Source organism: Homo sapiens, chromosome 21, assembly GCF_000001405.40.
Source record: "Homo sapiens chromosome 21, GRCh38.p14 Primary Assembly".
NCBI lineage: Eukaryota > Metazoa > Chordata > Mammalia > Primates > Hominidae > Homo > Homo sapiens.
This window is the reverse complement of record NC_000021.9, coordinates 39,525,272-39,552,431: the sequence shown is the minus strand read 5'-3', so window position 1 is coordinate 39,552,431 and position 27,160 is coordinate 39,525,272. Positions and strand designations below refer to the sequence as shown.

The 27,160-nt window shown below is 43.8% G+C and overlaps 1 pseudogene, besides 4 other annotated features; it reads right to left on the bottom strand.

The window, feature by feature from the left end:
- Window positions 264–765: an enhancer, noted in NCBI's record as "NANOG hESC enhancer chr21:40923594-40924095 (GRCh37/hg19 assembly coordinates)". NCBI's record gives its function as "activates a minimal SCP1, AML or CMV promoter by ChIP-STARR-seq in naive H9 embryonic stem cells {active_cell/tissue: H9 hESC(naive)}" and the evidence as "EXISTENCE:reporter gene assay evidence [ECO:0000049][PMID:30033119]".
- Window positions 14,185–15,078: an enhancer, noted in NCBI's record as "OCT4-NANOG-H3K27ac-H3K4me1 hESC enhancer chr21:40909281-40910174 (GRCh37/hg19 assembly coordinates)". NCBI's record gives its function as "activates a minimal SCP1, AML or CMV promoter by ChIP-STARR-seq in primed H9 embryonic stem cells {active_cell/tissue: H9 hESC(primed)}" and the evidence as "EXISTENCE:reporter gene assay evidence [ECO:0000049][PMID:30033119]".
- Window positions 15,973–16,867: an enhancer, noted in NCBI's record as "H3K27ac hESC enhancer chr21:40907492-40908386 (GRCh37/hg19 assembly coordinates)". NCBI's record gives its function as "activates a minimal SCP1, AML or CMV promoter by ChIP-STARR-seq in naive H9 embryonic stem cells {active_cell/tissue: H9 hESC(naive)}" and the evidence as "EXISTENCE:reporter gene assay evidence [ECO:0000049][PMID:30033119]".
- JCADP1 (JCAD pseudogene 1) lies at window positions 22,622–26,073 on the bottom strand (annotated as a pseudogene).
- Window positions 23,759–24,754: an enhancer, noted in NCBI's record as "H3K4me1 hESC enhancer chr21:40899605-40900600 (GRCh37/hg19 assembly coordinates)". NCBI's record gives its function as "activates a minimal SCP1, AML or CMV promoter by ChIP-STARR-seq in primed H9 embryonic stem cells {active_cell/tissue: H9 hESC(primed)}" and the evidence as "EXISTENCE:reporter gene assay evidence [ECO:0000049][PMID:30033119]".

Sequence of the window (27,160 nt, the reverse complement as noted above, 5' to 3'; positions counted from 1 at the left end):
GACATCTGGAGCCTTGCTGACCCTGGACGGACTGCTCCTCCACCTCCAGGGTTACCCATTTCCTAGAGATAGTGAAACCATCCCAATAGTCCCATAGACTGTTCTTTTGGATAAACATAGAAATTGACCTTTCGGAGTCTTAAAACTTGAAACACGTATTTGTTTTATCTGAGTTCTTTTCTCATGAAAGGACTTTCAGCCCTCTCAAAAAAGTATCAAAGAACTGAAACTTACCAGATCACCGTTCCAGAAACCGGACCTCTCATTCATCATGATTACTTCCTTGCCCCTCCCTAGTTCCCGTTTTCTTACACATTATTACATTTCTTCCCTGCCACACAAACCCCTGGTTTTAGTCAGTCAGGGAGATGGGTTTGAGACTGAGCTCCCATCTCCTGGGCTGCAGCACCCTATTAAAGCCTTTTTCCTTGGAAACAATCATCATCTTGGTCATCATTTTCTGTGTGATGAGCAGCAGGACCTAGACCAAACCCCTGGTGTTTCAGTAGCAGTAGCAAACAGCTTGCCTGAGAGTGAGCTTTTCAAATGTAAACTAACCAATTCATAACACAACCGCCTCCTTTCCTGGGCTCTCAGACTCCCCTCCTGCCCTGTCTCATGCCTTTCTTCCCACAGATACCCCCTCCCTCTACCAGCTGACCAACCCTGGTGCTTCCCCAGGTGGTCTCCATGGTGTGACATGGTCCTTTCTGTTGGGACCTGCAAATAACAAACTATCTTTTCAATGGCAGTCACCATCTGATCTGTTGGCCTTAGTGGACCTCAAATTTTCTGTTAATATACTTCAGGAAAGCAAGTTTTTCTTGAGGGAAGCAAAGAGTAAAGGGCCAAACATTTGTTTCTGGACCCACACAATTGTGAGCAAAGTGATCCCAGAAAAGAGACTTCAGTTATTCACTGACAGAGTCTCACATCTTACAAAGTCATAATCTGTGCTAAAATTTTCAATCAAAACCTGGTTTCACTGAGTTGTTTTTCCTATATTAATCTAATATGAAAGTGTCTCTGTTTCTATGTAAAACCCAAAACCGTAAAAACCCTAGAAGAAAATCTAGGAAATACCATTCAGGACATAGGCATGGGTAAAGACTTCTTGACTAAAACACCAAAAACAATTGCAGCAAAAGCCAAAATTGACAAATGGGATCTAATCAAACTAAAGAGCTTCTGCACAGCAAAAGAAACTATCATCAGAGTGAACAGGCAACCTACAGAATGGGAGGAAAATTTTGTAAGCTACCCATCTGACAAAGGTCTAATATCTAGAATCTACAAGAAACTTAAAACAAATTTACAAGAAAAAAAAACAACCCTATCAAAAAGTGGGCAAAGGATATGAACAGACACTTCTCCAAAGAAGACATTTATGTGGCCAAAAATCATATGAAAAAAAGCTCATCATCACTGGTCATTAGAGAAATGCAAATCAAAACCACAATGAGATACCATCTCATGCCAGTTAGAATGGTGATTATTAAAAAGTCAGCAAACAACAGATGCTGGCAAGGCTGTGGACAAATAGGAACACTTTTACACTGTTGGTGGGAGTGTAAATTAGTTCAGCCATTGTGGAAGACACTGTGGCAATTCCTCAAGGATCTAGAACCAGAAATACCATTTGACCCAGCAATCCCATTACTGGGTATACACCTAAAGGATTATAAATCATTCTGCTATAAAGACACAGGCACACATATGTTTATTGTAACACTATTTACAATAGCAAAGACTTGGAACCAACCCAAATGCTCATCAATGATAGACTGGATAAAGAAAATTTGGCAAATATACACCATGGAATACTATGCAGCCATAAAAAAGAATGAGTTCATGTCCTTTGCAGGGACATGTATAAAGCTGAAAGCCGTCATTCTCAGCAAACTAACACAGGAACAGAAATCCAAACATTGCGTGTTCTCACTTATAAGTGGGAGCTGAACAATGAAAACACATGGACACAGAGAGGGGAACATCACACACCGGGGCCTGTCGGTGGGTAGGGGACAAGGGGAGGGAGAGCATTAGGACAAATACCTAATGCATGTGGGGCTTAAAACCTAGATGACATGTTGATAGGTGCAGCAAACCACCATGGCACATGTATACTGAGGTAACAAACCTGCGCTTTCTGCCCATGTATCCCAGAACTTAAAATAAAATTAAAAAAAAAGAAAGTGACTCTGCTTTTATTCTCTTTTCCTTACCTGAGCAATGATCTTTTTATCTTTTTCAAATGACATCCTTGCACTAGCTTTAGTGTATATATAGTCACATTTATTTAGTCAGTTATTCAACAGAGATTTATTGATTTACTGTATGCGGTGTTTTAGGGCAAAGGAATACAACAGTGAACAACACAGGGAAAAATGTCTGATCACACGGAGTTTGTAAGCCAGTACAGTGAGGCAGACAGCAAACTCTACAAATGTTATGTTAGGTAGGAATAACAAGGAAATAAAGCAGGAATGAAGAATAATGAGCGCCAGAAAGACAGGGAGTTCAAATTTTTCTATAATAGCTTTGTTGAGATATATTTCAGATATCATAAAATTCATCCTTTTAAACTATTCAAGCCTGTGGCCTTTAGTATTATTAAAGAATTGTGCAACTATCACCACTATCTACTTCTAGTACATTTTCATTACCCACCCATCTCCTCAAACATATATATATATGGGTATATATATATATACCCATTAGCAGTCACTCCTCATTGCCCCCTCTCCCCAGCCACTGGCTACTAATAATTTCCTTTATATCTTTATTGATTTGCCTATTCTGGACATTTCATATAAATGGAATTATACAACATGTGGCCTTTTATGTCTGTCTTCATTCAGTTAGCATAATGTTTTCAAGATCCATCCATGTTGTAGCATGTATGGGTACTTTGGTACTTTATTCTTTTTTGGCTGAATAATATTCCATTTTATGTATGAACTTTTATTTATCCATTCATCTAATGATGAGCATTTACGTTGTTTTTGCCTTTTGGCTGTTATGAATATTGTTGCCATGAACATTCAGTATGAGCTTTTGTAAGGACAGATTTTCATTTTTCTTGGGCGTATACATACAAGGGTATTATTGAGTCACAGAGTAACTCCATGTGGTTTTTTTGTTTGTTTGTTTTCTTGTTTTATTATTTTTTTTTTTTAGAGAAAGAGTCTCTCTGTGTCACCTAGACCAGAGTACAGTGATGCAATCAAAGCTCACTGTATCCATGTTTAACTTTTTGAGGAAGGAGTTTCATTTTAAATCAAGCAGTCAGGGGAGGCCTTGTTGATAAGACGACATTGAGCAGACCCCTGAAGGAGATGATCTAAACAAAACCTACATGTGGAGGGAGGGAGAGCATGCCAGGCAGAGAACAGCAAGATCCAGAGGCAAGAATGTACCTAGGTTGTCCAAGGAACAGCAAAGTGGCTGGAGTAGCAGGAAAAAGGAAGACGCCACATGTGCGCCCACAATGCTAACCTAAATGTGATCTGGAAACGCTGCACTTAAATGGCAATCTGTTAGCATGTTTTTTGAGCAAATGGAGCTACATATTCCAGCCTCCTGAACTTAACTTTTTAACTCAATTTATTCATAACGATTTTAATAACTGATTGATTCTGATTTCATCCAGGATTTCAGTTGCATCCAGGATTCTGTCCTCTCCAGACATGTTTTATTAAGGAATAAACATGATAGAAGTACACAATGATTGTATAACAAAGGCTAAATTATACAGGTTTTTTTTTGTGTTCAGGGTAGCACAGTACATTGCTGTCCCTGCCCAATAAAGGAAGGTAAACTGCTTTTGGTATTCTGTGCATGTACACTGAGATTAAGAAATGCCCATCATCAAGTTCTGTTACTGCCCATTTCTCAGAACTAACAAAGTATTCAGGAACAGCTACATGATCACAGGCACCAACAGGCCAAAACAGTGGTGTTTCCACACTCTCTGCATCACCTGAAAGGGAGCAAATAGGCTTGACTACTTGCATCTCCTGGAAGTCTTGATTGCTGTGGCTAACTCCTTCATTTTTCCAGGATGGCCTCGGGTTTATAATTTAAGAAGGCAATGAGAATTATAAACAAACATAGTGTGTAAACTGCTAAGGGAAGCTAACTGGGTACAGAAGGGAGTTGGAAGAGGTCAGGGAAGGCTTCACCACAAAACTGATATCTCAGCTACAACATGAAGGATGGGGGATTTCTGGTTTTGCAGATGAGTAAGATATTCCAGGAGAGTGGACAGCAGGGACAAAGGCTCAGAGGCAAGACAGAACATGGGACAGTTTAAAACAAAAAAGCCATTTACCTATGGCTGCAGCATAGAGTATAATGCAGAAATGGAGAGAGACGAGTAGTGTTGGAAAGCAGGGTCTCAACGGGTAGAGCCTTCTCTGCTGATATGGTTTGGCTCTGTGTCCCCACCGAAATCTCATGTTGAATTGTGATCCTGAGTGTTGGAGGTGGGGCCTGGAGGGAGGTGATTGGATCATGGGGTGGTTTGTGGTGGTTTAGCACCATCCGCTTAGTACTATCTCCTGACAGAGTTCTCATGAGATCTGGTTGTTTACAAGTGTGTAGCACGTTCCCCAAATCTTGCTCTCTCCTGCTCCACCATGGGAAGACCGTGCTCGCTTCCCCTTCACCTTCCACCATGATTGTAAGTTTCCAGAGGCCTCCCAGCATGCTTCCTGTACAGCCTGCAGAACTGCAAGTCAGTTAAACCTCTTCTCTTTATAAATTACCCAGTCTCAGGTAGTTCTTTAGAACAGTGTGAGAACGAACTAATATATTGGCCATATAAAGAGTGTGTTTTATGCTGAAAGCCCTAGGCAGGAGACAAAGTATTTCAAGCAGTGGAGTGGCATGATAAGGTTGATGTGTCTGACGGCAGTGGAGTGAACATGGGCAAGACTGGAGAAACAGCACCCGATGAAATTCCCAGTTCTCTCCGCAACAGGGGCTGGAGCATCCAGCCTCACCTAAGTGTGACCACTGAGTGCCATAATATCCATATTTGAGTCCCAGCTCTGCCACCAACTCTATTTAATATGAAAAACACACATTCATTGAGACAACAAATATACTACAGTGAGCCAAACATGACATTCAAAGTCAGACCAGTCCAAATTTAGCCCTGTAATTATTTCAAAATGAACTCATATTTTTTAAAGTTCTTAAAATGTTCTTAGCCTCATTAAATCATTCCTTTTTATTTAAAAACTATTTCAATCTAGTGAATACAGTTATGCCACTTGCCTCATGAGGAAAGCAACCATAACAAATACATGTATATTCATATGTTCTATGTCACTATTATCTGAATGCTTGTTTCCCCCCAAAATATGTTGAAACCTATACTCAATGTAGGCTATTTGGAGGTGAGGCCTTTGGGAGATAATTAGGTCATGAGGGTGAAGCCCTCATGAATGGGATTAGTGCCCTTATAAAAGACCCCAGAGAGCTCCCTCACCACTCCCACCCCTAACATGAGGACACAGTTAGAAGACAGGCATCTATGAACTAAGGAAAGGGCTGTGGAAGTGTTGCACAGCCTGGTCCAGAGGTCCCTTTTTTGGGAACCTGGAATTCAATGTGAAACTAAGATCCTTAATTTTGGGGGATCTAGGTGTTCCACCTTCCAGCGGCACCTGTTTTTCACATATGTAAGCATTATTCCCTGAAAATTACAAATGCTTTGTTGGCATTATTTGTTAGTGGGCTTCACCCTAAGCTCAGTGGTCTAGTTGGAAAATGGAGATTAAATTAGAAGCTACCTATCCAAATGAAATTGGTCTCCTTATAAAATCCTAGGGCAAATTCCTATGATTTTGTGTTACATTGGCATCCATTTTTAATCTCCCTTTAAAACACCCAAACTCCTTTTTAAACGTTCAAATTCTTGTTCTGTGCTTTGAGGTGCAAATATGCAACCATTTTATCTAAAATTTGGTAAGGCCTTTGGCCATAACTTGTTCCATTTACAGAGGTACAATTTAATCCAACTGTCCTTCTAAACTAGTGAGTTTTATTAGACTAGTAAAACTTTACTAGTAAAACTTTTACAGTAAAACTTTACTTTTTCACTAGTTAAAGTTTTACTAGTCTAGTAAAACTTTACTTGTCTAGTAAAACTCACCAGTTTAGAAGGACAGTTGGATTAAATTGTGCCTCTGTAAATGGCACTAAATGTACCTCAAATGGCACTCTGTAAATGGACACTAAAATTTCATGGCTAAAATTTTAAAATATAAGCTATAAAATCTTGATTTATGTTTCTCTGTATTTTTATGCATACATAAGTTCATGTCATATTATCTACATGGTACCAAATGGATTTATAAACAAATGAGTGCTTATAAATTAAGTAAAGAAATCCAACTGCTTTTCAAGCTTGGCATCTTAAAATTACATTAGAAACATTGGCAAATAAGAAACGATTTTGAGTTAACATTCTTTGAATTGTATTTGTATGGATATGTTATTCAAATGTGTTCCAAAATTGTATGAGATTCCTAAACTCTGATAGGTCTTAGTGTATGCAGTAAATTGCTTCATTCTGGTGATTTTACTCTAAAACCTTTTTGCAAATCCTAGTGTTGTGTCTTCAAGGAAATTTATGAAGGTGACCCTGGACTCTGATGAGTACTCTTGAATCCAGGTTTCTGATAACTTTGTAGAGCATACCACTGAATTAGGTAAAACCTTCAGAACTCTAATTTTAAAACTGATGAGTTCATGAAGATTGCTAACCCACCATCAGGCAGAAGAAAAATTATTACATGGGACTGAACTGATAGAGGACTGAAATGATTTTTTATGACTTTTTGTTTGAAACTGTATTAGTTTATTTTCATGCTGCTGATAAAGACATACCTGAGACTGGGAAGAAAAAGAGGTTTAATTGGACTTACAATTCCACATGGCTGGGGAGACCTCAGAATCATGGCGGGAGGTGAAAGGCACTTCTTACATCGCAGCAGCAAGAGAAAATGAGGAAGAAGCAAAAGTGGAAACCCCTGATAAACCCATCAGATCTCATGAGACTTATTCACTATGAGGAGAATAGCACAGGAAAGACCAGCCACCATGATTCAATTACCTCCCCCTGGGTCCCTCCCACAACAGGTGGGAATTCTGGGAGATACAATTCAAGCTGAGATTTGAATGGGGACACAGCCAAACCATATCAGAAACATTGATTATTTTTATATTTTGTTTTCCAGAGTCAAGGAAACTTTTTTGGAGCTATTTATGGTTTACAGCAATTTGGTAAAGTATACTTTTGTAAGCAAAATTAAAATACATTCTGTCTACTTGAATTCTCCAAAATTTCAAAACTATTCATTAGTATTCTCATTTTATGGCAATATGTTTTTTTGTATAAGTTTTATAAGAATCTCTTTTCTTTTTGTAACAGGAAACATTGGAAACACTGGTTATTTTATCAAGGCTTTGACTGGAATGTCGTATTTTCAAAGGGGACCAGATTGCTTTGAGGGATTGAGGTCAACTTTATAAGCCAATAGCCTTAGAAAAAGACTGGCCTGGTACCTTGTCTGCACAGGTCCCTTACAGTGTTTCTGACCTTATGGTAAGTAAAGAATGTCACTTTCTGACAGGACTAGGAGCGTCAAGATATTTGGAGGACCTTAAGAAGACAGAAATCACCCAATTCATTCAGGTGATACAAGCACAACCAGAGGGTGAATCCTTGGCTTGGCTTCCTAGCCTCAAAAGATTTTTGAAAGTCTAATCAGAGATTCCTCATGAAAATGGTCCAGCAAAGCAAGCTTAAAAAGAGCTTATACGACAATCACTATTCTTGCTGTACTTCATGCAAATAATTAGGCCAAGGATAATAAGACTAAAACTTATTTTGCAAATAAATTGGTCCTACTATGATTTATTTTTGGCGGAAATGGGGGATTAGAGAGAGAAAAATTATGCTTCAGAAGAAAGCTATAGTATACCTGTTACTAGATTTTAGTCCTGACCATTGGGGTGGTTTTTATTGTTTTGTTTTGCTTTGTTTTTTGAGATGGAGGCTTGCTCTCTCACCTGGGCTGGAGTGCAGTGATGCAATCTCAACCCGCTGCAACTTCCACCTCCTGGGTTCAAGTGATTCTCCTGCCTCAACCTCCTGAGTAGCTGGGATTACAGGCATCTGCAACCACACCCAGCTAATTTTTGTATTTTTTATAGAGACAGGATTTTACCATGTTACCCAGGCTGGTCTCGAACTCCTGACCTCAGGTGATCCACCCACCTCAGCCTCCAAAGTGCTGAGATTGCAGGCATAAGCCACCATGCCTGGCTGATTTTCCTACAGTTTGGACTGAATCCTGAATTCTTTCCTTGCAACAAGTCTCCAAACTAACATTTCCTTCCACGTTTTTCTCCCATTTTACTGACTTGGAACACTAGAAATTAAAACTGAACTTTTTTTAAAGTCCTGCAAGCTGAAACTAGACAATTTTATATAAATGTTGGGTTAAAGCACTACAGCAACGTAATAGACAAACAGCCTTCATGCCTGTCGATGTATAGATTACACAGAAAGTTCACTGGAATGCCTGATGCAAACTGCAAACCAGGAAAACTGTCAGATTCTCACTGTCTGCTCTCTTTATCTGCAGGTGCTTTGAGCCCAGCACCTACAATTCTTCTCAACTGGCTGCTCTCTAGACTCAAAAAACTGAGTTTATAGTTTGCCCTAACCATTAATCTTTGTTTTTATTTTCTTCAGTTTCTATAAAAATGCCTTTTTTTTTTTTTTTTGAGATGGAGTCTTGCTCTGTTGCCCAGGCTGGAGTGCAATGGCACTATCTCAGCTCACTGCAACCTCCACCTCCCCAGTTCAAGTGATTCTCCTGCCTCAGACTCCCCAGTAGCTGGGATTACAGGCGCGCACCACCATGCCTGGCTAATTTTGTATTCTTAATAGAAACAGGGCTTCACCATGTTGGCCAGGCTGGTCTCGAACTCCTGACCTCAGGTGATCTGCCTGCCTCAGCCTCTCAAAGTGCTGGGATTACAGGCGTGAGCCACCGTGCCCAGCCAGAAATGCCTCTTATTAAATATATGATTGCTCAAATCATATAGAGGCCTGACCTTAGTGGAAGCCTGAAATGAGATCCATTTTTGGGACTGAGATCCTGGCTCAATAACTTATAAGACAATCCACCAATCCAATTTCTGGACTGTGAAACTTCTTGGGAAAGTTTCAGACCAGGGAATGTTGGGATTCAGAAAATGATACTCAAAACAAAGACCTTGGAAGCAAAAGTTTTCGTCTGACCTTCTCCTGCCCTCATGTTATCCATCTCACGTTTCCCTGAGGCTAGGCATAGAAACCAGAATCCGTTTTCCCCAAAGCCAGCTATAAACCAAAAAATATTGCTCTAACTTTTCCTCCACCTTTCTGTGTAAAAACTAGCCATAAAGAAATTATCAAGGCCGTGAATGGTGACTCATGCCTGTAATCCCAGCACTTTAGGAGGCTGAGGCAGACAGATGACTTGAGCTTAGGAGTTTGAGACCAGACTGGGCAACATGGTGAAACCCCATCTCCATTTTTATTTTAAAAAAAATTTTTTTAAGAAATGATCAGACCTACGTTGTTTGATTGTATGTCATAAGGCTTCTGTTCCAGAGAGGGTCCTTCCCATACCCAGAAGGAAGGGATGTTGCTCAGAGAAGCCAAGAAGAATCTAGACAGACAGGCCTTGCCGGATTTCCCCTCCCAGCCTATCAGCATTAGGTCTTACCCCTTTCATCCAATCATATCTCTACACAGCTGTCCATACTCTGTTGAACCTAAGCATAAAAATGGACAGTTTCCCTCTTTGGTTGTTCATTCTGAAGTCTCCTGTGTCACGTAAAACTATGATCAAATGCATGTGTGTGCCTTTTCTCCTATCAATCAGCCTATTGTCATGATTTTCAGGGAAACTTCAGAGGGTGAAAGGGAAGTTATTTCTCTTGGCCTCGACAATGTCCACAAAGGAAGCACTTCTATAGGAAAATAATCACAATCTTTTAGCAAACTATATCCACCCTCTCTAAACATTTTTCTTTGCATCAATGTGTGATTAAAGGAGGAACCAAGTGGCTCAACAAACTGCCATAGTGAGAAGTGTGCATTTAACCTGGGGATTCCCAAAGCTCCTTTTCCTGCTCAGTGTTTCCATCTTCTTGGTGCTATTATTTTCCTCAAATACACATGCACAAATATCTGTTCACAGACATGCATGCACACACTGCAAAGCCTATCTTTTCATCTTTACACCCTGGCAGTTTTAGAGTGAAGGTTGTTATCGCTTTTGTCCTTAAGCTGTGTATGTTCTTTCAATTGAAAAGATACAATCTTGGCCAGGCACAGTGGCTCACACCTATAATCCCAGCACTTTAGGAGGCCAAGGTGGGCAGATCACCTGAGGGCAGGAGTTTGAGACCAGCCTGGCCAACATGGTGAAACCCTGTCTCTACCAAAACTACAAAAAAAAAAAAAAAAATTAACCAGATGTGGTAGCAGGTGCCTGTAGTCCCAGCTACTGGGGAGGCTGAGGCAGGAGAATCACTTGAACCCAAGAAGCAGAGGTTGCAGTAAGCCAAGATGGCACCACTGCACTCCAGCCTGGGCAACAGATGAAGACTCCGTTTCCAGAAAAAAAAAAAAAAAAGGAAAGAAAAAATACAATCTTATGAAAGAAAAAAAAAAAGCTGTACAGAATAGGAATCACTATACTTGCCATTAAAGATTTCAAATCAAAGGTTTAAGCCCTAATATGGTTTGGTTGTGTCCACACCCAAATCTCAACTTGAATTGTGTCTCCCAGAATTCCCACATGTTGTGGGAGGGACCCAGAGGGAGGTAGTTGAATTGTGGGGGCCGGTCTTTCCCGTGCTATTTTCATGATAGTGAGTAAGTCTCACAAGATCTGATGAGTTTATCAGGGGTTTCCGCTTTTGCTTCTTCCTCATTTTTCCCTTGCCACCGCCATGTAAGAAGTGCCTTTCGTCTCCCGCCATGATTCTGAGGCCTCCCCAGCCATGTGGAACTTTAAGTCCAAATAAACTCTTTTTGTTCCCAGTTTCAGGTATGTCTTTCTCAGCAGTGTTAAAATGAACTAATACAGTAAGTTGGTACCGGGAGTTGGGCATTGCTGAAAAGATACTCGAAATTGTGGAAGCAACTTTGGAACTGGGTAACAGGCAGAGACTGGAACAGTTTGGAGGGCTCAGAAGAAGACAGGAACATTTGGGAAAGTTTGGAACTTTCTAGAGACTTGTTGAATGGCTTTGCCCAAAATGCTGATAGTGATATGGACAATAAAGTGGTCTCCAGGCTGAGGTGGTCTCAGATGGAGATGAGGAACTTGTTGGAAACTGGAGTAAAGGTGACTCTTGTTATGTTTTAGCAAACAGACTGGCATCATTTTGCCCCTGCCCTAGAGATTTGTGGAACTTTAAACTTGAGAAAGACGTTTGAGGGTATCTGGCAGAAGAAATTTCTAAGCAGCAAAGCATTCAAGAGGTGATTTGGGTACTGTTAAAGGCATTCAGTTTTGTAAGGGAAGGAGAGCATAAAAGTTTAGAAAATTTGCAGTCTGACGATGCAATAGAAAAGAAAAACCCATTTTTTGAGGAGAAATTCAAGCTGGCTTCAGAAATTTGCATAAACAGCAAGGAGCCTAATGTTAATCCCCAAGACCATGGGGAAAATGTCTCCAGGCCATTTCAGAGACCTTCACGACAGCCCCTCCCATCACAGGCCCAGAGGCCCAGGGGGAAAAAGCGGTTTTGTGGGCTGGCGCCAGGGTCCCCATGCTGTGTGCAGCCTAGGGATTTGGTGCCATGTCCCACTGCTCCAGCTGTGGCTGAAAGGGGCCAACGTACAGCTCAGGCTGTGGTTTCAGAGGGTGAAAGCCCCAAGCCTTGGCAGCTTCCATGTGCTGTTGAGCCTGCAGGTGCACAGAAGTCAAGAATTGAGGTTTGGGAACTTCCACCTAGATTTCAGAAGATGTATGGAAACACCTGGATGCTCAGGCAAAAGTTTGCTGCAGGTGCAGGGCCCTCATGGAGAACATCTGCTAGAGCAGTGCAGAAGAGAAATGTGGGATCAGAGCCCCCACACAGAGTCCCTACTGGGGCACTGCCTAGTGGAGCTGTGAGAAGAGGGCCACCGTCCTCCAGACCCTGGAATGGTAGATCCACTGGCAGCTTGCAGCGTTCACCTGGAAAAGCCACAGACACTCAACGCCAGCCCGTGAAAGCAACCAGGAGGGAGGCTATAGCCTGCAAAGCCACAGGGGCAGAGCTGCCCAAGACCGTGGGAACTCACCTTTTGCATCAGTGTGACCTGGATGTGAGACCTGGAGTCAAAGGCAGTCATTTTGGAGCTTTAAAATTTGACTGCCCAGCTGGATTTCAGACTCGCATGGGCCCTGTAACCCCTTTGTTTTGCTCAATTTCTCCCATTTGGAATGGCTGTATTTACCCAATGCCTGTATCCCCATCGTATCTAGGAAGTAACTAGCTTGCTTTTGATTTTACAAGCTCATAGGTGGAAGGGACTTGTCTTGCCTCAGATGAAACTTTGGACTATGAACTTTTAGGTTAATGCTGAAATGAGTTAAGACTTTAGGGGACTGTTGGGAAGGCATGATTTGTTTTGAAATGTGAGGACATGAGATTTGGAGGGGCCATGGTCTTCCGGAATGATATGGTTTGGCTGAGTCCCCACCCAAATCTCAACTTGAATTGTATCTCTCAGAATTCCCACGTGTTGTGGAAGTGACCCAGGGGGAGGTAATTGAATCATGGGGACTAGTCTTTCTTGTACTATTCTTTTGAAAGTGAATAAGTCTCATGAAATCTGATGGGGTTATCAGGGGTTTCCGTTTTTGCTTCTTCCTCATTTTTCTTTTGCCACCGCCATGTAAGGAGTGCCTTTCGCCTCCCACCATGATTCTGAAGCCTTGTGGCCTCTACAGCCGTGTGGAGCTATAAGTCCAATTAAACCTCTTTTTGTTCCCAGTTTGGGAACAAAGATCTTGTCCCCAAGATGATCGCTGTTTCTTCTGCCCAGAAAAGCTGCACTTTTTTCTGTTCAACTGATTTTATATGCAAGGTACATAGTGGCCATCTCCATCCTTCCTACTTATAGGCAAAGGAAGTTGAAACCCTAAGTTCAAAACTCAAGCCTTAAGTTTGTTTCTTCACCTTTACAAGTTGTTTTTTCTGTTATTTAAAATCAACTGCTCCTTTGGGAAAGAAGTTCTCCATTCAAAAAAAGAAGACAGGCATGGAGCTGAAATCAACTCATGCAAAATAAAGTCACTTTAAAGCAAAAGAAGCAGCTCTTTTGGAATTAACAGTTACAGCTTCCAATATCTGAAGAAAGTAACACTCAGCATTGAATGAATCTATAAAAATTCCCCTGAAATGTGTAACACAGCCAGCATGCAGGGAGCACTTGGGGCAAGGTCTTTGCACCCATCCCCTCCGTGATCTTATTGCAGTAGGTAGTCGGGCAGACATGAGCAGGGCAGAAGAGGGCCCCATCACACCAGGAATGTCAGGCAACCATGAGTTGATGGCCAGGCGGTTGTTAAGCACTAAAATAATAATTGGTCACAGCTAGCGCCAGGGAAAGGCAGTCTCCCAGTAGAAAGAAAAAACCTGAAACTGGTAATCAGCAGCTTCTGGAGAAGATCTCAGGAGTTGGACGAGTGGGCTCAAGCATGCGCACTAGAAGGCAAAATGGCGGTGTTAAGTGGCACATGATCTTCCTCTAGGAACACTTGGCTGGTAAGGGAAGAATGCCTCAAGTGAGCATGCATACAACTCCAGTAAACACTGTACACGCAGCCCCTCCCAAGTGCTGGCAGGTCACAGCACAGGTGGACAGCCCACCCCAAGGGAAGAATAAGGAAAGAAGAGAAGCAAGACACCAGAAGCAAGCCAGCATGTGAAACCCCAAGTCAAAAGTCAAACAGTGCTCTTGTCTCTCCCACTTGGCCCTCTTCCAAGGACACTTCACTTCCTTTCATTCTTCCCCTAAAAATTTTTCATAAGCTTTCACTCCTACTCTAAGACTTGCCTCGGTCTCTCCCTCTGCCTTATGTCCTTCCGTCAAATTCTTTCTTCTGAGGAAGCAAGAATTGAGTTTGCTGCAGACCCATAAGGATTCACTGCTGCTAACAATCTCTAATAATTATGAAGTAGACATTATCATATTCATTTTACAGGTGAGAAAACTGAGGCATTACAAAAGTTGTATGACTTGCCATAACTTGTCAAAGATCACCATGCTAGGAAGTAACAGAGCCAGAAATCAAAATTGAAGCTTGTCAGATCCTAAAATCCATGCTCATAACTGCTACACTATAATGTTTGCCAGTGCTTTGGCATGACCAGTGTAGGAGACCACAACCTGCCCCCACCAAAATATGCCTTTTGGGCATAAGGATTATTTTGAGAAACTGCTGACACAGAAGAAGCCCTGAGAACACAGAGGCAGTTACCCTTTTGTAAGGGAAATTTACTTCTGTAAAGGAGCCCTCCATTTATGAGGGTGCCTCCCCCTCTGTACCAGGAAGACAAGGATGACTCAAATCTGCACAACAAACCTTACCCTTTTTGACTGCTTTTCCTGGTTACCTCCCCACACCTGCCAGCAACACCTTTCTTTGTGACAGCTGAAGATGGTATTAAATATTTAAGCCTGAATTCAAAGTCTCCTCCTTGAGACTGACTCATCTCTCTGGGTATCTATCACATACACAGGAGGCATGCATGTTAATAAACTTCCGTTTGTCTTTCTCTTGTTAATCTGTCTTTTGTTACAGGAGTCCATCCCAAATAATAACTGTGAAGAGCAGAGGGAAACTAAAATTTTCCTCCTCTACACCACAGAAACTTGGAAATAGACTTTAACCAAATTGTTTGTGCTTAAAGTATATGTAGGAATCAGAAAGATCAGAATCAAAACAAAAAACAATGGCTTTTGTCATACGGTGATCCCCCTTATCCAAAGGGGATATGTTCCAAAACACCCAGTGGATACTTGAAACCTTGGATAGTACTGAACCCTGTATATTCTGTTTTCTCCTATCTATACATACCTGTGATAGTTTAATTTATAAGTTAGGCACAAGAGATTAACAACAATTACTCATAAAAAAATAAAGCAATTATAACAATATACTGCAATAAAATTTATGCGAATGCAGTCTCTCTCTCTCTCTCTCTCAAAATATCTTTTTTTTTTTTAAGAGAGACAGGGTCTTGCTCTGTTGCCCAGGCTGGAGCGCAGTCCTGCGATCATAGTTCACTGACGCCTTGACTTTCTGAGCTCCAGTGATCATCCCACCTCGGTTTTCCGAGTAGCTGGGACTACAAGAATGCATCATCACACCCAGCTAATTTTTTAAAATTTATTTTTTGTGGAGAAATTTCACTATGTTGCCCTGCTGGTCTCAAACTCCTATACTCAAGCAATCCTCCCACCTCAGCCTCCCAAAGTGCTGGGATTGCAGGCATGAGCCATTGTGCCCACCCTCAAAATATCTTACTGCGCTACACTCACCCATTTTCAGACCTCCATTTATTGCAGGTAACAGAAACCATGGAAAGTGAAACCACAAATAAGGGAGGACTACTCCAATGAAGAGTGAGATAAGAATAATGGAAAGTGAGATTGAAGCTGCCTTTGCAAAACGATGACTGAGCCAGTGAAAGAGATCTAACTTAACGGGCCTCATCTTGCTTCTCACCTCCAAGCTGTCCTTGTTCATTCCTGGGCATAGGCTGAACTAACTTTGGGAGAAACTTAGTTTACAGTTTATAGTTTATAGTTTAAACAAAGATGGCAACAGCCCTTTCCCAAAGCAGACCTCCTTCTTGCCTGGGGACTAGATTGCCTTTGTAGGACCAACATTAGCCACAAAATTAGAAATTAAGGTTTAGGAGTCATGCAGCTGGAGGCTACAAGATTCTGACCCTCCCCAAACTGCTCCTACGATCAGGGCTTGAGATACTTTGCAGACCCTGCACTGGATGGATCAGCTGGCACCACCCAGATCGATCAACTGGCTCACCTTATCTTGTGGCTCCCACTCAGGAACTGACTCAGCGCCAGAAGACAGCTCCGACGCCTTGTGATTTCCTCCCTGACCAATCAGCATTCCTAGTTCACTGGCTTCCCCCCGCCCACCAAGTTATCCTTAAAAATTCTGCTCCCCGAATGCTCGGGGAGACTGATTTGAGTAATAATAAAGCTCTGGTCTCCCGCACAGCCGGCTCTCTGTGAATTACTCTTTCTCTATTGCAATTCCCCTGTCTTGATGAATCGGCTCTCTAGGCAGTGGGCAAGGTGAACCCCTTGGGTGGTTACAAATTAAGAATGTGATTGGCCTGTTGCCTGTACATTTCTGTTTTGAAAATAACTTTTAGCCAAGAGGTCAATAGCCAACTATTTAACAATTTGGTGTCATGGGACCAAGCAGTGAGAATGGACGGTGGCCAGGGCATTGGCACAGGGTCCAGAGGCCCCCTGCGGAGATGGGTGCCAACGCTTTCATTGCTGGAGCATAAGATGTTGGAGAGGAGAGAGCTCTAGGGGAGGAGCCAGGGCAGCCTGCTGTTTACCTACAGAAACAAAAGCATTTCAATATTGTGGGAATCACTGTGGACAAACCAGAGCATCCCAGCTGTGCATCGACCCCATTTCCAGTCCACCCTGCCATATCTATGGTGTTGGGTGCCACACAGCACTCTGTTCACAACTCTCTTCTACAGGCCTCCCCACCTGGAGGAGATGAATTGATAGGAAATTGTAAAGAACGCTGAACCCCTCAAAGTTCCTTTTCAACAAGAGTCCCATCGCTCAAGAAAAGGCCTCCAGAAAAGCCCATAGATTTTGTGGAAGTGTTGTTTATTGTGAGTCAACAACACATAAAAAGCTAGAAAATTCGTCTAAATTTCCACAGGTGACAATTAATTAGTGGCTTACCAGCAAAAGGTTGATAACAAGGAAAATTCAGGTGAATCTTTAAAAATTCAGCTGACAATGCTCCTTTATTTATTTATTTATTTTTTTTTTTTTTGAGATGCAGTCTCCCTCTGTCACCCAGCCTGGAGTGCAGTGACATGATCTTGGCTCACTGCAACCTCTGCCTCCTGGATTCAAGCGATTCTCCTGCCTCAGCCTCCCGAGTAGCTGGGATTACAGGTGTCCAACACCATGCCCAGCTAAATGCTCTTATTTTCAACAGTAAATGATACGACAGAATGGACAATGTCCCAGAGTTAAAGACTGACTCCTAAACTTCACTGTAGCAGGACCTGACCTACTTCAATGGCCAGAAAGGCTCTGCTGAGCCCACAGAGGCTCTCGGGAGAATTTACGGACTCTCCCACATGTTAAATCAACTTAGCTGATTCAACAGGCAGCCAAAAATAATACTAAGAAATAAACCTGGCCTTTGGAGTCCAACAGAGGGTTTGAATCCTAGCTCTATTAACTTATTAGCTGTGTGCTCCTAGGCAGGCTACTTAACTTTTCCAAGCCTCTAACTCTCCAGTTAGAAATAAAATTCTGGACTGGGCACAGTGAGTCATGCCTGTAATTCCAGCATTTTGAGATGCTAAGGCAGGAAGATTGTTGAGTCCAGGAGTTTGAGAACAGCCTGGTCTCGAACATAGTAAGACCTCCATCTCTGTAAAAATAAAAAAATTAGCCAGGCATGGTGGTGCACACCTGTAGTCCCAGCTACTTGGGAGGCTGAGGTGGGAGGATTGCTTGAGCCCTGGAGGTTGACACTGCAGTGAACCATGATCATGCCACTGCACTTCAGCCTGCTCAACAGAGTGAGACGCTATCTCAAAAAAAAAAAAAAAAGAGAGAAAGAAAGAAAATTCTGTAAAAATAACACATTGTATGGTTGTTGAAAAAACTAAATATGACAATATATAAAAAATCCTTTAAAAAGTAGCTGGCAATTAGTAAACATTTACTAAATATTCCTTCCCTTTTCTTACCAAGAAGTTCATTTAACACTGGCTCAATGCAGTGCGCTCTGGATCACAAAAATGAAAGAGACATGGATTCTATTTTCAGAAACCTATCATCTCAAGTTTTACTTGACATCTACTGAGGAGAAATAAAAACATTCATACTCAAAAAGACTTATCCACAAATGTCTGTGGCAGCTTTATTCAAAATACCCCAAAACTGGCAATGACTCAAATGTCGAGTGTGAGTAAACAAACTGGTAATGCCACACTCAGCAAGAAGGAACAAATTTATGTATATAAAAAATAAAAATAAAAAACTAAAATTTAAATTTAAAAATTAAATTCATTCAATTAAAAATAAATAAAATTAAAATAAATAAAATAAAAAATAAAAAATTTAAAATGTAAGTTTTTTAAAAAAATCTTAAAAATAAATGAATAACATAAAAAATAAATTTAAAAGAAGGAACAAACTACTGATATTAACGACATTACAGGTGAGTCTCAAACACATGTGGAGGAAGAGAACCCAGGCACAAAAAGAGGAAATAGCTGTTGTACTCATTCCCATGCAGTTCCAGGAAAGGAAAATCTAATCCGTAATGTCAGAAAACAGCAGCGGTAGCCTGGGGTCCTGTGGAAGGGAGGGATTAGCTGCACAGGAGAAGAGAGCTTTACAGCATGACAGGAATAATCTGTGTCTTGACAGGGGCATTGGTTATACACACTTGTCAGAACTCATCAAACCGTGCACTCAAAAAGGGTGCATATTGCTGGATGAATTAAACCTCAATAAAATGTATTTTCTAAAAATCCTGCAATCTAGTACAGGGCTTTCAACCCGAGCTCTGAATTTAGTCCCCTTGGGGTTCAAGGTCTCTGTAACTACAGTCAGAGCAGCTCTCTTTCCATCTGATTTTTTATGCTAGGGACCCATTTGAACAGAATCCTATGGCTTTAAAAAATTAAAAACTAGGCCGGGTGTGGTGGCTCACACCTGTAATCCCAGCACTTTGGGAGGCCAAGGCGGGCAGATCACCTGAGGTCAGGAGTTCGAGACCAGCCTGGCCAACATGGTGAAACCCATCTCTACTAAAAATAAAAAATTAGCCGGACTTGGTGGCACGTGCCTGTAGTCCCAGCTACTTGGGAGGCTGAGGCAGGAGAATTGCTTGAACCCGGGAGGTGGAGGTTGCAGTGAGCCGAGATCGGGCCACTGCACTCCAGCCTGGGCAACAGTGTGAGACTCCGTCTCAAAAAAAAAAAAAAATTAAAAACTACTGGACTGAAGGAGAGCTCTGACTTACATGAAAATGATTTGTATCACGAGAAAGGTTAGTTAAAATGCTCTGAGAGGTCAAGTATGGAGTAGTAAATACTCTCTGATGGCAATAGTGAGTAAAGCTTAATGACAGACGTGACCTCAAGCTGGGTCTTAACCTACAAGTAAGACTCAGGCATGTGGACATAGTCGGACGAATAAGCAAAGACTTGGATAGCATGGATAAGAACATGCTACATGTACATGAAGTTCTGATGATTGTGTAGAAAAATAATGGCAAGATACGTTACAATGATATTAATGGCTATTTCTGGGCACAGAGATTATAAATTATTTTATGTTTATTTTTTACTTATCTATATCTTCTTTAAAAAATATGAACATATGTTGCTTTTGTAACAAGAAAAAAGTTTTTAAGACAGTGCCAGGGCACAATGGCTGAAAGGCTGAAAGATTAGATATTGGCATCAAGATGAAAATTGCTTTGGAATCAAGATGAGTTAAATCTTTGACTTTTTTTTTTTTTTTTTTTTTTTTGAGACGGAGTCACACTGTGTCGCCCAGGCTGGAGTGCAGTGGCACGATCTCAGCTCACTGCAACTTCCGCCTCCCGGGTTCAAGCGATTCCCCTGCCTCAACCCCCAAAGTAGCTGGGATTACAGGCACGCAACACCACGACCAGCTAATTTTTGTATTTTAGTAGAGACAAGTACCTGCAGGACATCCACATGGAGACATCCTGCAGGTGCTTTGAATTCTGGGTGTAGTCAGTACATTTTGGGGTGCTTTCTCAGCCTGTACCCTAAAAAACTACCCTCAGCGCTCGCACACAAGTGGGTCTTCTCAGCCTTGTTTGCTCTTTATGATCGTATCTCCAGAACTCTCATCTTGCAAAACTAAAACTCTATACACATTAAACTATAATGACCCCTTGCAACAACCATTCCACTCGCTGTCTCCATTTGATGACTCATACAACGTACTGTATGATTCCACTTATCATACAGCACTCATCCTGTTGTAACGGGCTTATTTCACTTAGTGTGTTCTCAAGGTTCATTCATATTGTAGCATGTGACAGAGCTTCCTTTCTTTTGAACGTTTGAATAATAGTCTGTTGTATGGGCATTCCACATTGTGTTTATCCATTCATCCATTGATGGACATCTGTGTTGGTGCCACCTTTTGGCTATTGTGAATAATGTTGCTTAGAACACAGGTGTACAAATGCCTCTTCAGGACTCTGCTTTCCATTCTTTTGGGCATATACCCAGAACTGGAATTGCTGGATCATACGATAATTCTATTTTTAATTTTTTGAGGAATCTCCTTACCACTGTCCGTAGCAGCTGCACCATTTAACATTCTCACTAACAGTTCTCCACACCCTCACTAACACTTGTTATTTTCTGGGTTTTTTATAGTAGCCATTCTAAATGATGTGCAGGGGTAAGCATCCTTTTTTAAAGGTGGCTTGAGGGAGGCCCCAACCTTTGCAACCAATAGCCTCGCTAACACAGGACTTGAGAATCATCAGGATCTATAGCAAAACCATGAAAATGAAAGAAATTGCCAAAGAAGAAAGAATCAATGGAGAAGAATAGAGAGCCACGGACTGGTCCTTCAGAAATTTTCCTATTTAAAGGGTGAAAAGTGAAAGGAAAGGCAGAGATGGAGGGAGAGGTAGGAACGGAAAGAATCACAGAAGCCAAGCACGTCAGTGTCCTGGGATGTCCTGACAAAGCACCACAGATGGATGGCTTAAGACAAAGAAATTTACTCTCTGACAGTTCTAGAGGCCAGAAGTCTGAAATCAAAGGAGTCAGCAGGGCCACGCCCCCTCTGAGGCTCTGCTTAGAATCCTCTTTGCCTCTTCCTGGCTTCTGCTGGCAGCTGCCAATCCTTCCCGCCCCGTGTTTTGCAGCCTCATTCCTCTGATCTCTGCCTGTGTCGTTACAGGGCGTTCTCCCTAAGTGTCTCTGTCTTCACATGGGGTTTCCTCTCGTTAGAAGGTCACCAGTCATTGGTTAGGGCCAACCCCACTCCAGGGTCAGCTCATCTTTTTTTTTTTTTTTTTGCAATGGAGTCCCGCTCTGTCGCCCAGGCTGGAGTGCAATGGCGCGGTCTCGGTTCACTGCAACCTCCAACTCCCGGGTTCAAGCAATTCTCCTGCCTGAGCCTCCAGAGTGGCTGGGATTACAGCTCTCAAACTCCTGGCCTCATGTGATCTGCCCACCTCAGCCTCCCAAAGTGCTGGGATTACGGGCGTGAGCCACCGAGCCCGGCCGAGTCAGTTCATCTTAACTTGATTACGTCTGCAAAGACTGAGCATGGGCCACAGGGCACGGAGACACGAAGGAGAATGTGTGGCATTCACAGTCCTTTAAAATCGTTCACTAGATCTTCTGTGTCTAAATTTTCACACAGAACCACAGAAACACCAAACTATTTGCCAGTTTGGCCAAATCCTTCATGAAGGAGGGTTTCTGTGAAAACTCTTTCCTAATTATAGGCATTAAATCTTCATGCTATAAAAAATGATTTCAGCCGGGCATGGTGGCTAACGCCTATACTCCTAGCACTTTGGGAGGCTAGCAGATTACTAGAGCTCAGGAGTCGAGACCAGCCTGAGCAACACAGTGAGACCTCGTCTCATTTATTTTTTAAAATTTAATAAAGGGCTTGACGTGGTGGCTCACACCTGTAATCCCAGCACTTTGGAAGGCTGAGGTGGGCAGATCACATGAGGCCAGGAGTTTGAGACCAGCCTAACCAACATGGTGAAACCCTGTCTCTACTAAAAATACAAAAATTAGCTGGGCGTGGTGGCACATGCCTGTAATTCCAACTACTCAGGAGGCCGAGGCAGGAGAATTACTTGAATCTGGGAGGCAGAGGTTGCAGTGAGCCAAAATCATACCACTGCACTCCAACCTGGGCAACAGAGCAAGACCCTGCGTCAAAAAATAATTAATCAATTAAATTTAATTTTTTAAAAAAGGATTATTTCAACGGACTATTGCTTTATCTCCACAAAGCAATTCTGTGTGGATGGTAAGTTTCCTAGTGACAGTGGTAAAGAATGTCATCAGTACATTAAAAACCAGCAGTTTCCAGATCCTACATAGACGGAATCAGAGAATGCTCTTGCAGATGAACAGTGAAGAAAGAGAAAAGGAAAAGAAAACAACAACAAATAAGAGAATACTCCATCAGCAAACGCACGCAAGCGTCACTGGCATCTCATCACAGTCTCTCCTCTCTGCTAGGGTCATACGAATCTGGACACCAGATGCTCATTTTCTTCCCGTGAGATACCATCCTTGGAGAAAGACAGTGAGTGGCCAACTCTGACCCTGTCGTCCCTGCCTCTCAGAGACACAGAGCCTTCTGGAAGGTGGACCTGGCCCCTCCAAGCCTTCAGTCCCTCCACCTCCTCCAGGGAGTCAGCACTCCTGAAGCTCAATAGACACTCAACACACCTCTTCCATTCTCATCAGGTGGCAGGGTCTGCTCTCCTGGCCAGGGGGAAGCCAGTTTCTCTTGCGAACTTTCAATCACTTTGAAAGCACTTCTGAGCCTCTTTTCTGAGTCTGCCACACTTGGAGTCCTCTCTATGAAGTAGAACAAAGTGAATATGAAGGGCAGTTTTGCCCCCACTTCCTTTAAGGACTTGGACTCCAAGGGGTTAGCCTGAGACTCAAGGCTGGAAGCTCCATTGGTGACAACCCTAAGTGAGGTCTGAGTGCTCAGAAGCCTGGGGAGCCCACGTGGCACTGTTCCCTTCCCCTACCAAGAGAGGGCTTTCAGTCCAGCCACACTTTCTCCTGCCATAAAAGGCACCAGTGGACACCATAAGGCCATCAGCCAGTGCTGAGCTGGACAGCGACTCTTGCCTGGGGGCCTCTGGGCTGCAGACGCTCACCTCAGGGAGGCTGGTTCTGCCTCCACCCTCAGGGCACTGGCAGGAGAAATGCCACCGCCATTCAATGCCCAGGATCCTCACAGCCCTCACTTGCAGGGACTTGCCTGGAGGGTTTCTATTGCATCCACTTCCCTCAAAGACCCCTCTAGCTTGCTGGCTCACTCTACTCTTGCCCTGTGGTGAACACCATAGCCTGTAAAGTCTGGTGCCAAGAGCCCTCGGTTCTGGTTAGTCAGGGACAGCGGGAGCACTGTGTCCCTCTCTCCACCACTATCAACCTTCCAAGGGGCCACTTCACTCAGTTTCACAGAACTGAAAGTGCTGGTAAGTTTCTGACTTTCCTGGGACGCCTTGGCTCAGCCGGATAGGAGAGGGGCACTGGTTTTGTGTCACTTGATCTTGAAGACATCACTCTCTTTGCAGGACCTGGGCTCATTACCTCCATTGCCAACCTTCTGGTGTCTCTCTTCTGCTCTCAAGCTTTCATCTGCTGCCCGGAGGATGCATGGCTGTCGTCTCCACCTGAGAGGGACCCAGGGACAGAGGCCAGACACGCAGGTGGCCAGGTTCCAGCTCCTCACCTCAGCTCTCAGACTTATGTCTACCTTTTCCCAACTAAACCCAGGGTCCTCCAGCACCCACATCCTTGGCTGTTGCTCAACTCATTTCCGGGCTGTTTGCACAGAAGCCTGAATTCTCCAGTCTGGGGTCAGCACAGTTTTCCTGCTGCTGTTCCGCCTCCGTTTCCTCATTGCTGCAGCAGCTGTTTTCTTTGTCTTCCTTCTTTGTCTTCTTGAAGCTCCTTGTTAAAACTTACTCGTTAACTTAATAAGCCCAGGCACAATGGCTGACTGGTGTCAGGAGAAAACGCCCAAATCATTGTTTGCTGTTGCACAGACATGTGGGTACCTCCTTCACCACCTCCCACTTGGGCCGGGATGGACTGCATGCCCACAGACACCCACACAGGGCTGACTTCAGCCTGCTTTTGTCATCAGTGCCTGATTTATGGACAAGGAAGTCCTTGGAAAAGCACTGTTGCCGGCTGGGCTGAGGGACCTGTGACCTTTCAGGTTGCAGGCACTTCACCTCTATTTGTGGTCACCAGAAGGGACTGCCGTGTGCATCTGAGCTTCGGAGGCAGCAGGGTCCAAACATTTTGGAGTCAGGGACACACTAGACCCTCCCAGCTTTGCAACAGGAAGGAGCTGCGAGCTTTGGGATTCTTTGGGGAAACTGGTTTGTGTTTGCTGATCTCTGTACTGGTGCCCTGGCCAAGAGCCAGAATGCTGGAGTTCACTGTGCTTTGTAAGGTAAATGAATCCAAGGTCATTGATTGCTTTATCTTCTTCTGATCCCCACCCCCAGATCTTGTTTCTGGAGCTCCATTCTCCCACCCATGCTTCCTGTGACAGCCTGCAGCCCCAGGTCGCTGGAGGACATGCTCAGCAGACTCTGTGGTTGCAGAGCTGTGCTCTCATCAGACCCACTCAGATTTAAGTCATTGTTGTCCGTACCTGTATCTGGCAGCTGTGATTCTGATTTCACAGGGATGAAAATCAAACAAAATACAGTCTTGTTTTTTGTTTGGTTTTCATTTACTTCTTTGAACTTTTCTTGGTCCGAATCCCAGTTTCAAACTTTTTGAGTTTGGTTTGAGTTTCATGAGTGCCCTCGCCCTGTGGGCTTGGGGAAGAAACTTGGCTTTCTGCGTGTCTGTGAGGGCTGCCCCTCACGTCAGGCTGCCATCCTCTCATGACACAGCTGTCTCTTTGGTCAGGAAAGCCACCATTTTCTCTATTTCTGGGAAGCTGGACCCATGGCCACAAGGGGCTAGGATCAGCCAAGGCCGGGCCTCTCTTATTCCCTGACAAGGCTATCAGGCTCTGTGGATTCCAAATGGCACCATCAGCATTTTTCCATGAGCTGGCTCTTGGTCAGTGACAGGACTGGAGTTATAAGATTCATCACCAAACCTTGTGTCCTCAAAGAAACCCTGGGGTTGAGCTGGTTTGATATGTCATATCCTTGGGTCATCAAAGGGAATGTACTGAATGAAGCTGTCATGGGCAGTGGCAGATTGGAGGTGTGGAGGGAGCCCTGAGGTAAGAGGGTGTTTGCAGGGCCCAGTTCCAAGGGGGCCACAAGGAAGCCGACCACCAGCCCGGCCTTCTCAGTTGGAGGCTGCTGCTGACCGTGAATGCCACATATGAGTGAGCACTGTGTCTTCCAAGTAGGGGCTTGGGATGTGCTGGGGGGTGACCTGTGTGATGGTGGAGGTACCTACTGGAGGCTCCAATCCAAAGTCAGACATGCAGAGCTCATGCCTGGGGACTTATGGATCCGCTGCTGGCTGTCCTGATAGTCACCACTTTCTACTCCCTATGGGACTGGTGGTGCAAGCCGTCAGATGGGGGCTTGAGGGGTCTCCCAAACTTAGGCTGAGGAAAAGAGGCCAAGGAGCCACCCTTCTCAGGGTCACTTGTGAATTTCAAATTTGTTGCATAATTGGGAGAATACTGTGACATTTTAGGTAAATGTCTGTCATTTAATGGAATGGAAATTTCTGTGCAATTCAGGCTGTGGGTCGGAGGGCTATGGGGGTGGGAGAGGGGAGAGTTCTAGGCAATAATTGGGATTTCTCTTTGTTTTGAGAATTCGACACGTGTTCTCCTTGAATGAACAGTAACAGATCTTGAAATAATTTCTTCCCATCACCATCAGACACCCGCCACCTGAATTTCCTTGGCTGGTTGCAGACGTTCAGCCACTTGGCAGGACCCAACATTCTCAATTCTTCTTCCCAAGCTGCCTTCTTATTTATCTATTTATTTGAGACCGAGTTTCTCTCTGTTGCCCAGGCTGAGTGCAGTGGTGTGTTCTCAGCTCAAACCCCTGCCTTCTGAGTTCAAGCGATCCTCCTGCCTCAGTCTCCCAAGTAGCTGGGATTACAGGCTCCCACCACCACACCAGGCTAATTTTTGTACTTTTAGTAGAGACGGGGTTTCATCATGTTGGCCAGGCTGGTCTCGAACTCCTGACCTCAAGTGATCCACCCCTCTCAGCCTCCCAAAGTGCTGGGATTACAGAAGTGAGCCACTGCACCCGGCCCCAAGTTGTCTTATTCGTCACATCCTCTGCCCTTCCTCTGACTTCCTATGGACGCTGCCTCATGTGGACGGGCGGACTGTGGGCTTGGGTCATTCCTGCAGGTCTTCTGGGTCCCTCGGACCCAGCAGGCTGCTGACTTCCCGCGCTCCTCTTCTCCAGTTGGCTTGGTCATTAACAGTCTGGGGTTGGTTGATTATGAAGCCCTGCCTCAGAGGTTCTAGAAGCAGAAGTGCTCTGGGGATCCCCGTGGCCTCTCAGTGTGGCGCGGCAGCTTTCAGAGTCACTCCCACGCCCTTTCCCAGCAGGTGTCTTATGATGTGCAAAGGCCGCAGGGCCATCCTCATGCCTATTCAGCAGGCCACAGACCACTCGCATCCTTGTCTTTGCTGGCTGGCATCCCTCAGGGTTATCCCTGCGTGGTGCTGGGAGGTCTCTCAACAGTTTGTACCCATGAGTGATCAGGAGGTCTTCGGCACTGTACATGGTGCCCAGCCTCATTGAAGCTCCACCACTGGAATGCTGGTGGAGGCAGGACCCAGCTCCCCTGGGCTGTTGGTGTTAGCAAGTGCAGGGACTTCAGCATCCTTCAAGGCAGCAGGCTGGGGGAGCTTTTAAAAAGACTCTAGTTCCTGGGGCCTAACCAGAATCTGACTGAAGAGCCACAAACTGACTGAAGAGCCCTTGGGCCTTAAGTGAACGTTGGCAGGAGCCTGGCAGTACTCCTCGTGGGCCTGTGGCAATAGTGGCCATGTGACTGAGGCTCCTCTGCCTGTTGAAACGGGAGAGACTGTGTC